General features: G+C 40.0%; 1 protein-coding gene across 5 annotated transcripts in view, besides 1 other annotated feature; it reads left to right on the plus strand.

Annotated features, from left to right (window-relative positions):
* Window positions 1-12,262, plus strand: part of LRCH1 (leucine rich repeats and calponin homology domain containing 1) — a 199,872-nt gene that overhangs the window by 40,789 nt on the left and 146,821 nt on the right. The window lies entirely within an intron of this gene.
* Window positions 1,429-1,478: a silencer, noted in NCBI's record as "silent region_5325". NCBI's record gives its function as "represses an Ori minimal core promoter by ATAC-STARR-seq in GM12878 lymphoblastoid cells {active_cell/tissue: GM12878}" and the evidence as "EXISTENCE:reporter gene assay evidence [ECO:0000049][PMID:35858748]".

Here is a 12,262-nt window from a genome sequence, read left to right on the forward strand (position 1 = left end):
ATAGAGTCTTAGGTCTATAGCCACTGTTGAATGCACCTAATCAGGCCATCTCCTTGAACTAGAGAATGTTTGCATCATAGGATAGATACCAGGTTCCCTGAGAGGTGGGTACCAGGTGCCTGGGAAGTGAAGTAACTTGCCAAGAACAGAGAGCCAGGGAGTGACATTGCAGGCATTTAAGCCTAGGCAGTCTGAGTCCCGAAAACAAGTCAAGACATTTATTGTCTTTCCATTTCTTACCCATGTTCTTACTGTTTTGCCTGGACTCCTCTTTTAATCTCAGTGAAAAAAAAAAAAAAAGTACATATTTAACAACTGAAGAAAATAAACAGAGACTGTAGTAAATTTCCAAGCTAATAGCAAGTTATGTAAAAAATACTACTTGCTGATGAGGTTTGTAAGAACCTCCTAGAACCTTATAGAACAAGTGTGGAATACTTGTTTTCTGCTAAGGGCTATTGACCCCAAGAAAATTCAATGAAGCGATCTTTGCAAAATAGTAAATGATTTTTCTTTGTCTCCCTGCAGAAGCAAAGAGGCTTAGACCTCTAGCCACTGTTGAATGCACCAAATCAGGCCACCTCCTTGAGCTACACAGAATGTTTGCATTATAGGATAGGTGCCAAGTGCCCTGGAAGGTTGGTGGAGAGAGAGATGACTTCCAGCTGAGATTGTACAGTAGAATTTAATATTTAAAGTTTCTCGATTTGACGGGGCTGAATTAGTTCATATGAGTTCATAAGTAGGAACTGCTTCGCTTAATTTTGGTGAATAAAATATCCTGGCTGCAAAATACAAAAAAGAAAGTCACCCTCATTTTCAAATGTATGGTTAGTGCTTTCCATAGAAAACATATGGCTAAATGTGTGTGTTTTTTTAATTTAGCTCTGAAATGTGAAGACTGTAATAAGATCTAGTAACAAGAGCGCAGTTTAGAAAAACCTGATTGACTCTAGTTTATGTAACTATACAGGCTATATAAAGAAAGTCTCATAAATGAACTTCATCTAAAGAGTGTGGCAGCTATAACCTTCTCCAACTTTCAGGCTCTGGGTGTTCTCCTAGCTTCTTCTGAGTTTATAGTCTTTATGTAATTATTAATACCATGATGATCATTCTGGGGTTTGCTTTTTGCCCTGGTCACTTTAGGTTTAATTTTATTCCATTCCTGGTCATTTATAGTTTTGTTCTGTCATCTCCCCATACCCATCGAGAACCCTATTCTCCTGTGGCAGACTTTAATGAATGTAACCGCAGATTATGTGTTTTCTTTCTTTGGTGAACTTAGAGGATGCATAGGCCAGGTGCCAAGTGTTAGAAGAAACCATACCTTTCCTGATGGTGCTGCATGGCTAGCCTACCCCGACCATGCAGTAAGTGACTTCCTCACCGCTGATGTGGCAGACCTGCTCTGCATCTCCACAGGGTTTCTGGGTTCTTTTCCAGGCTGTTTCCATATTGCACACTCAGACTGGGTAGGAAAGCAGGCAGGGCACAGTTTTATATGTACGTCAGCATTTTCACTTGGTGATGGATATAAGCTAACTTTTGTAGCTCTCCTAGGTTTATTACTGACATCTGTTCCCCCCTGAGCATATCCAGCTGGGGCTGAAGCCACATCTGCACTTTAAACTTCCATCTACCTTTATGTTTTCAATGTAATTTTAGATTTCATTTGTTTTTAATTGTGAACTCAGAAGAGATGAGTTCCAGCTATGACTCAGTGTGAGTTCCTATGTCATAATTCTACATTTCTGGAGTGCTTACACCTGACAGGAATAAACTCAAGGAAACAAAAAGAACAGGAAAGGCCTTAGGCACATACTGGTTGTTCTAGATGTGGAGTTCTGCTGGCAACTGCCACAGAGTGAAATTGGCCACATGGAATCCAAAGCACGGCCTCACATTGTTTTTTTTTTTTTGAATATTTTATGTAAGACAGGGATGTTAAAGGTAGAGGAAGTAATTAAGAATGGCAGCTATGTCTTTAAAATTAAACACATCGGTCATAACTTTAATGAAGGTGTAAAAGTGTTTTTAGTTTTAAACAGGCAAAAAGGCTTTTAAATACAAGTAACCAGTTTTGAGACTTTAAAAAGCAGAAGTTTTTCATGCCAGTGCTTCCTATTTTAGTTTCAAAGGAAAGGAGGAGGAGCTGAGGTTTGGATGGTTATCATAGATGAGGGAGTTGACATGATCAAAAATGTTTTTTTCCCTGGGAACACATCTTGAGTGCTTATCTCTTCTAATAGATAAAGGGCTGGTGAATTTTGAATGTTTCCTGCAGCTCTGAAGAAACACTGTGATCCTAATGAACACCGAGGAAAGCTTGTATTGCAGCCCTAAATATTACCTGCTTCAAGGAGGCAGCATGTTTTGGTACAGTCTGATCATGACTATAAATCAAAGCATCTTTACTTCTCCAGGGAGATAAAAAAAATCATGTGTTACTTTATAAGGATCTTGTAGTTGCAGTATGTCTGTCAGATGTTTCCATTTTTATGATTTAAGACACTTGGTGCTGCTATGAATAGCAAATTGGAAAAATTGGGCATTTTTTAAATTTTGAATTTTATCTTAGCATATATCTGGAAATGAAATAGCGATCTTGGAACAGAGACATCTTTGTTAGAATATGAAAGAATGTCAGTGAATTCTAACTTGAAGCTACATTGAGATGACATGTTAAAGGCATGAATAGACAAAGGGAATGATTTTCAGGAAGTGCCTTCTGGAGACTGTGGGAAATCCCGTCATGGGTAGAGGAACAGCTTGCGATTGGATCAAAGTCACGCAAAGTTACGCAGGTGGTAGATGCTGGTAGTCAACATGGCTAGGTCCATGGCAATCGATCATTTGCCCAGCATTTTGCCTGCTGAATTTGGGGGAGTGAAGAGGACATTTTCACCACCCCAGGAAGATAGTAACTAGTGCTCTATGTATGTAGCTCAGAGCCCTTGAATTTTCAAGTGACCTTTTAAAAGTTTCCCCCAGAAAGGTTTGAATAGACTTCCTATCTATTACTCTAAGTTTAGGTCTAAGAAAATTCCCAAATGGGTTAATACAGTCGATCCTCAATCTTTGAGAATTCTGTATCTGTGAAATTGGCCTACTTGCTAAAATGTATTTGTAAGCCCCAAATCCATCCGTGAGGACTCTTTGTGGTCATTGGTGGATATGTACAGAGCAGCAAAAAAATTTGAGTAGCTCAAGGTACACGTACCCGGTGGAGGTTGAACAAGGTGACACTCTGCCTTCTTGCCTCAGTTCTCATACTGTAAACGAGTGTCCTGGATGCAGACAATTCAGTGCCATGTCTTCTGCATTTTTGGGCTTTTTCTTGGTGATTTCACTGTTTAAAATGGCTCCCCAAATATAGGGCTAAAGAACTGTCCAGTAGGACTTTTTTTTTTTTTAGATGGAGTCTTACTCTTGTCGCCCAGGCTGGAGTGCAGTGGCTTGATCTTGGCTCACTGCAACTTCCGCCTCCCGGGTTCAAGCAATTCTCCTGCCTCAGCCTCTCAAGTAGCTGGGGTTACAGGCATCAGCCACCACGCCCGGCTAATTTTTATATTTTTAGTAGAGACAGGGTTTCACCATGTCGAACAGGCTGGACTTGAACTCCTGACCTCAGGTGATCCACCAGCCTTGGCCTCCCAAAGTGCTGGGATTACAGGCGTGAACCACCGCGCCTGGCCCTGTCCAGTGTTTTTAAGTGCAAGAAGGCTGTGATGTGCCTTATAGGGAAAAATACATGTGTTAGCTAAGCTTTCTTCAGGCATGGGCTTTAGTGCTGTTGGCTGTGAGTTTAGTGTCAATGAACCAACAACTTAGATCAAATAAGCCATTTTTTTTTTAAAAAACAGAAACACACATAAAATGACGTTATAAGTTGGTTGATGAAAATTTTGTGACCAGAGGCTTGCAGGAACCTAACCCTGTGTTTCCCCCAGAAGCTAAGGATTAGTATTTCCTATGGCGGTGTTCAAGGCAACTTCATAGACAGAACTACCATCATGAATAACAAGGATCACTGTGTGGGCTGAGTGCGGTGGCTCATGCCTGTAATCCCAGCACTTTGGGAGGCCGAGGCAGGCAGATCACCTGAGGTAAGGAGTTCAAGACTAGCCTGGCCAACATGATGAAACCCTGTCTCTACTAAAAATACAAAAATTAGCCGGTCAAGGTGGCGGGCACCCAATAAAATGACAATAGAGTTTAAACTCCATGGTTTCTGAGGCATTTTCTGAGTAAATTGGCATACAGCGTATGTACTCTTTCCTCTAGAAGTTCCAGAAACAACACTATTTCTTTATGTGCAAAATGGCCTCTTTTGAGCAGCCCTGGGGCAGTTTTGTCTGGCCCTCTTGCAGCCAGGGTGCCCCAGTTTAGTGTACAATTGGTATAAAAATAGGCAACACAGGAACTTGCTTGTCTCGGGGGAAAAGACGCTTGCAGATTTATAGAAATTTTACATTTGTATGCATGATATTCTGTAGGTTCAAGAAAAAACAATTCAATTTCAAGATAACATTCTACAGGGTAAATAAAATTTAATTTCAATAAATTTAAGGGGAAAAGTTGTCCATCTTTCTATACTTTCTGTAACTTTTGTAGTTTCACCACTAACAACAACAAAAAAAAAAGAACACAAACAAAATAGCCTTGCTCTGGGTTTTGAGGAAATGGTTTTGCAAGGCTATTTGGTTAGACAATGAATTAGAGTCAGAACTTCCGGGATGGGCTTTCGGTAAGGGAAATGCTTAGGCTGCTGCAAAGCCTGGATTCAACTTACACAGGATCCTTGAGAAGTTGTTCTTCGCATCCAGAACCATGGGCAATGCTCTATGGTATAAAAACCCCGAAGGTAAACACTGTCTGATATATATTTTTTATAATTGCAAAATACACATAAACTTACCATCTTGACTGTTTTTAAGTGTGCAGTTACATATTCACATTGTCGCACAGTCTCCAGAGCTCTTTTCATCTTGCAAAACTGAAACTCTGTACCATTAAATGACTCTTCATCTCCCTCTCTCCAGCTCAGCCCCTGGAAACCACCATTCTGTTTTCCATCTCTATGAATTTGACTACCCTAGGTACCTTATATAAATAGAAGCATAGAGTATTTGTCTTTTTAGTATTGGCTGATTTTACTTAGCATTATATAATGTCCTTAAGGTCCATCCATACTGTAGCAGGTGTCAGAATTTCCTTCCTTCTTAAGGCTGATTAATATTTAATTGCATGTATACACCACATTTTGTTTATCCATTCTTCTGTCAATGAACATTTGGGTTGCTTCCACAATTTGACTATTGTGAATAATGCTGCCATGAACGTGGGTTTGCAAATATCTCTTTGAGACCCTGTTTTCAATTTTTTTTTGTTGTTGTATACTCAGAAGTAGAATTGCTGGATCAGACGGTAACTTTATTTTTAATTTTTTTGAGGATCTGCCATAATGTTTTCCATGGTGGTTCCACCATTTTACATTCCCACCCACAGTACACAGGGGTTCCAGTTTCTCCACATCCTTGCCAACATTTGTTACTTTCATTTTTTTTGGTAGCTGACTGATAATTATGACTAAATAATATTGTTGAAGAACTATTACAATGTCAAGAAATTTTGGCCATCAGTGATAGTCTTATGATTAAACTTAGTAGTATTTTATTATTAAACTTAGTAGCATTTATTAGTAGTAGTTTTATTTCAGAAATATTTGCATTTTCCATGTTTCTAGCCCCTCAATTATGTAGGTAGAAACAAATAATATAGAATCAATTTACCTTATGTTACCTTAGAACTGTGGCCACAGCCTAGTAGGTGCTCAGTTCATTTTTGTTAAATGAATGAATCAATGACCATGAAGACAGTTCAGGTTATTTGTTATGGAGATACGTAATGGGATTGGAAAACATGTAGGGTAAATGTATTAGCCCTCTCCTGTGTTAACTCTTTAGCCCTTTCAAAACTAAAGGTATTTGGCCATGTGCGGTGGCTCACGCCACCGATCTTAATTTTTTTATTTTAAAAATAGCTTACTTAAAAAATAGCTTTGTTGTATTAAAAAATAGCACCCAGCTAATTTTTGTATTTTCAGTAGAGACAGGGTTTCACCATGTTGGCCAGGCTGGTCTTGAACTCCTGGCCTCAGGTGATCCACCCGCCTCAGGCCTCCCATAGTGCTGGGATTACAGGCGTGAGCCACCACACCCGGCCAGGCTTTTTAACATAGTAACATAAACATTTTTATTCTCACAATGTCTTTATGGTTTGGGAATGGTGGCTTCCTGTCTTTCAGAGTCTGGTGTTATTTGTTTTTTTGGTGTGTGCCTTGCAGACACCTGCACTTGAAATCTTTCAGGTATTTTGCAGTCGTTTTCTCAGATGGCTGGATTATTTCAAGCCAAGAATAACAGAGTTAGGGTCAAGACTGTGAACCGTATGGTCAGTCCTTCTAAGGAAGTATTTATTTTTATTCACTTTTGTTTGCCTTTCCTTGGGTCATGGTCCTAATTGCTGTTCCCTTTGGCTGCAGTTATTCAAAACTGAATTTACTGCTGAGCCTAAGACAGTGTTTTTCAAACTTTTAAAATTAAGACACCCAGTAAGAAATATGTTTTACAGTTTTTTTACATCCTGACCAGATTTACACACACACACACACACACACACACACACACACACAGAACCTGAAGTATTTGTTGCAAGTTGCAGATGTTTACAGTTACTGCTAAGGATATGTGTTTCCATTTAATTTACATAAAATACTGTTCATTGAATTGATTTTATGACTCACATTATTTCATCATGCAGTTTAACAAATACTGAGCACTGGTGTCACAGAACTTTGTCGTTCATGCTCTTTAGCAACAGTCAGCTTTTCTGCTCATGACTGATGGCCTATTGCTATGATTCTGTTAGCGCTTTAAAGCAATTTGATTGTCAAAGTCATGTTAGCTCTGGTTGTGTATTCAGTTACTCAGTTTCACCTTTACAGGCAGCTGCTCCTTGGGAAATGGGGCTTGCTGAGCAGGTTGAATGTTCCATAGAATCAGATCTATACTTTGGGGAACTCAGCAGTATGGGAATCACAAGCCAACCCACCCTATCCGTTAAAGGGCTCAGGCCCATTGGTCTCCATTGTCACTTAGACTAGCACAACATCACCTACCTCATGGATGCTTTGAGGGCAGGGCCGGTTTTGTTTTTCTTTTTATTCCTCAGAGCCCGCAGCATGATTCCTTGTGTGGAGAATATGCATCAGCCTTGGCTCTGGTCCTCTCTTCACTGTCCCTCTTCTCCTCCCTACAGAAAACAGCAAAGCATGTATAGAAAGAGATGTGCAGACTGTGTGGAATGACCTGAGGGGTAACTTGCTTAGAGGGTAGAGACTGTTGTGTGTAAAAACTTATGTTTGAGGCAAATTGCAGGAAAAAGTTCTTTAAATGAAGGAAAGATAAGATTATAAGTTTTTTAAAAAGTTGTCTTAATGAATAGAGGAGAATGACTAGTCATTATTTCATAGATCATAGGTACATAGGTGATTTTAAAGGTTGAGTGACTGGTCCCTTGAGGTTAGTTCAATGTCCTCTTGTAATCTGAATTTTTTCATCAAATTCTTTTAAATCCAGGTGGGGCTCAGCTCCCTCTGAAGTATCACAAAACCCTAAATGAATTAGGTTAATAAGACTAATTATATTTCCATAGCAATGTTTAAGTGGCCTGCTGCCCAATCACCTTCCAAGCCCTGCTCTGTTGGGTTTCTTTTTACCCAGTCATGATCACGTAGGACCAGGCTGTTTTTCGTAGGGGGTTATGGAGTCGCAATGCCTGGGGTGTTAGGAATATAGGCTGGGCTTGTATCATAGTACCCACGCCGCTGCCTAACTCTTGATATCCAGTGACTGAGTTGGACTTTGTAGCTGCTTTCTCTTTATTAGGAGAAAAGAGCTTGTTTAATAAACCTAAGAATTAATAGCCTGTGTTCAGTAGTTGGATTTGTAACCTGAATGTTTTTATGTCTACTGACTTGCAACGTTGTCATATAAATTAAAGATCATAGATCCAGCTATGGTTTAAAGGTGACTTCCAGGACATGGATTTGAAAGATCAGAATTTGAATCTCATCTCTTTCCATTCTAGCTTGGTAACCTTGAGGAAACCACTTAACTTCTCTAAGCCTCAAAGGTGTCAAGTAGATTAATGCAACTATGTATAGCTGACCCTGAGGAATTTTTGGTTCCGCTAGAATAAAGCTTGAATTTTTGGACATTAGAAGGATCTTTGAAGATGATGTAGCTTCGTTGTGTAACTGAAGACCAGAGAAATTTAAGTGAGTTTCCTGGAATAGTTTATGCCTCTGCTTCCTGTGTCATGATTACCACCCAGAACACGTGCTTAATTGGGGACAGGTAATCCATTCAGGGTGAAGAACATGGCTTTTGGGTCAGTCTGCAGTGGATCTAAATCAGCCCCCTGCTGTTTACTGTGTCTGTAGTCTAGAAAAAGCTATTTAACTTCTTGCAGATTTAGCCTAACTATGAAATTAAATTGGGGATTTAAAAAAACTCATAGGGACGTGGTGAGGCTTGACTGAGATAAATTTATGCAAAGCTCTTAGCACAATGGCTAGTACCCAGAAAGTGCTCAACATTATTATTATTTCCTAATTGAAGGGCATTGATGATTTAAAATAAAATGGAGGCTGGGTACAGGCTCATGTCTGTAATCCCTACACTTTGGGAGGCCGAGTTGGGTGGAACACTTGAGCCCAGGACTTTGAGACTAGATTGGGCAACATGGTAAAACTCCATCTCTATAAAAAATACACAAATTAGCTGACTGCGGTGGTGCCTGTAGCCCCAGCTACTGAAGAGGCTGAGGTGGGAGGATGGATTGAGCCCCGGAGGTCAGTGCTGCAGTGAACCATGATTGTGCCACTGTGCTCCAGCCTGGGCAACAGAGCAAGACCCGGTCAACAAATACATACATGCATACATACATGCATGCATACATACATACATACATACATACATGTAAATAATTAAATAACTCATTTCTTGTCAGATAAATGGCTGTATCTTTATAATAAGATATCTGTATCCTGTGACTTCATCCTGTAAATAATTTTGTGCCTCTTGTGCTTTCTATGATCTAGGGAGGAGAAAGCTAATTCTTCTTCATTTTATGCACGGAGCAGAGACACGGAGAGCCTCTAATTTATTTCTTCTTGGTGTGGCCCTGTTTTCTGAGCATGGGTGTGTCTGATCCCTGGGGAGAGCAGAGCCACACTGTGGATCTGAGGTGCTGGGAAGCCATCCAGTTTCCTCCTCCTGACCCTGACTCAAGTCTTCCCTGAAATCTCTGTCAGCCCCATTCTCTTTCTGTCAGCCCCATTCTCTTTCTGTCAGCCGCCCTCCTTACATAACCCAAATGGGTTGTTTGCAAAGCTAGTGTCGCTGAGGTGTTCTGTGTACAACAGAAAAGAATCTAGGGAGGATTCCTATGTGTCACTAAAGCCAGTAATTAAGTGGACAACAGGGGGAGCTAACACTGAATGCACCAATAAATTTCAAGACTCCTGCTACCCTAGGTAACCGAGTCAATAGTATTAGAAACCATTTTAAGCATTGGTAGTTTTAAACATGCTGTTTAAAAACAATTTTAAATTTACCTTCACTTTTCTAATTGGATACTTTACTATTCAGAGTACTATGAGATGAGGGTCTCGCTTTGGAGTGCAGGGGACTGATCTTGGCTTACTGCAGCCTCAATCTCCTGGGCTCAAGCGATCCTCCCACCTCAGCCTCCTGAGTAGCTGAGACTATAGGCTCGTGCCACCATAGCTGGCTAATTTTTAATTTTTTTGTAGAGATGGGGTCTCACTATGTTGCCCAGGCTGGTCTTGAACTCCTGGCCTCAAGCAATCCTCCTGCCTTGGCCTTCTAAAATGTTGGCATTATAGGCGTGAGCCACCATGCCCGGCCAAACTTCTTTTGAAATTAGCTTGTTGATTCTTCCTCACCTCCCAGTTGTTTTTGTGCCAGAATTAATTTTTCTCCTTGTATTATAGAATAGTTTGGAGGAGTATTGAAAGAATTAGGGGGTAGAGTTGCCAGATGTAGCAAATAAAAATACAAGACACCCAGTTAAATGTGAATTTCATATAAATAACTACTTTTTTTTTGCTATACATATGTCCCATGCAATATTTGAGACATACTTATACTAAAAGATTGTTAATTATCTGAAATTCAGATCTAACTGGGCATCCTGTATTTTATCTGGCAACCCTAACTGGGGTGGGGATGGTGAGGAGGGCCTTGGATGTGGCCAGAGGAGAGGTGTCAGAGCCTCAGGTGTCTTCTTGTGGGTGACCGAGGTGGCTGCAGCACAGTAGCCTTGCTCCCTGGGTCTGGGGCCTGTGCCTTCTCCCTGTAGTCACTTAGAATAGGATGATGGGGGTGGCTCAAGGCAGTGGAATAAATTAATTCTGAAGGAACACACTGGGCCAGAGTCCTAGAACAGTTTACTTAATGATAGTGTTATTTTAATTTTCAATTGTTTGCCTTTCTTCCCTGTGATACGGAATAAACATGAAATTGTATCTGGAGCGGAGCAGGCAGAACTTACATCTTGTTGGTCTTGTTCTGCCCTCAGCCTCTGATGTTCTACAAGGTTTATCCTTTTGTTTCTTTTTTTATTATCCAAGGAATGAGATATGCCAGAAAAATGTGACAGGTATTTATGAAATGCTTTGAACTAGGTGAGCTTAGAGCATAAGTAATTTTAGGTCATTTATCTCATCACAACACTATCTACAGAGTTTTAACCCTTATCATAAGGAACAGACCATGATGACACTGACATTATCAACATAACGACACACATGCTTTTCTATTCCTAATGCTTTGGTGAGAGAAACTGGGGCATCGGAGAATGTTCTCAGCCATATTTTTGATATGGCCTAAGGTATAATGAACAAAAGCTTAGATGAGAAAAGTCCATCTGATTGATGCCTGGCTAATTGACAGCCAATTATGTCATGGTGCCAGTTCTTAAAGAAATTGACCCATTAATCCCTTTGTGTGGAGAGGCCAGCCAGCAGGCATCTGCTTTCTTAGCATGCAGCAGTACTGAAAAGTTTATTGAAATAATCGTCACCTGTCCTTTCCAAATCTTAATTCTTCTGAGTTTAAACATGTTTTCTCTAAGGAAAGTCGGATTGACATGAAATCACACATGTCTGGAATTATCTCTGAGTCCTTTATAAACAGACCAAGACTTGGAAGGGCACACCTTAGGTTACAGAGTGTTTTCCTGGGCTGGGCTCCAAAGCTTCCTGACTATTGAACAATAATGTGTTCTTTCCATGCTACTTTATATATTTATTTTACAGAAGCCTTGTGCCTTTTATCCGTTCATATCCACTTTGAAAACTTACTTGTGGCCTGCCAGAGCAGAGGTACAAAAAATTCCGGATTATTTTCTGTTTAGAGGCCCCACACAATACAGTATATGTGCTGAAGATGAGGGCACTCCTCCTCCTCCTCCTCCTCCTCCTCCTTCCTATCCTACCCCTTCCTCCACCTCATTTTTCTTCTTCTTTTTTAAAAATAATCATAAGCATGTGTTTTCTTCTCATGTGCTTGTAAATATTTTTGTTGGGGATTCTTGACTGGGATTTCAGAATATCCTGATAGGGAGAAGTTGGGTATTTCTTCATGAGATAAATTCCTTAAGGAGAGATTTGAATAGTTTTGACCTTTGGGTTTTCTTTTCTCTTTCAGTTTTCTTTCTAAAAAATGTTACATTTCTTGGTTATGAGATAAAAACAAACCTATAATTTGTGATAATGGGTGAAAATGTGATTAGAATTCACATTCTAGGTTTAATAATGACAGACTACTTATGAAAGATAAGATGTCAGAGCTGGAAGGCTTCTTAGATATTGTCGGGTTCAATATTCTTTTCTCATTAGAGGAAATGGAGACTCAGAGACATGAAGTGACTTCTCCAAGGTCACACAGTAAGTGAGTGATGAAGCTGGGAGTAGGACCTCTTTTGCCTGACTCCAAACACAGCTTTCCCCAACTATTGAGGAAAAGGACTCAGGACAATTTAACATTTCAAGTCATTGAAATATCCTTTAAATGCTCAAACTCTAATTTTAACCTTATGTGTGTGTGTGTGTGTGTGTGTGTGTGTGTATAAGTCGTTCTAAAGTACTTAACCTTCTGAAATCTTATTT

The sequence above is a fragment of the Homo sapiens genome, chromosome 13 (assembly GCF_000001405.40).
Source record: "Homo sapiens chromosome 13, GRCh38.p14 Primary Assembly".
Classification (NCBI taxonomy): domain Eukaryota; kingdom Metazoa; phylum Chordata; class Mammalia; order Primates; family Hominidae; genus Homo; species Homo sapiens.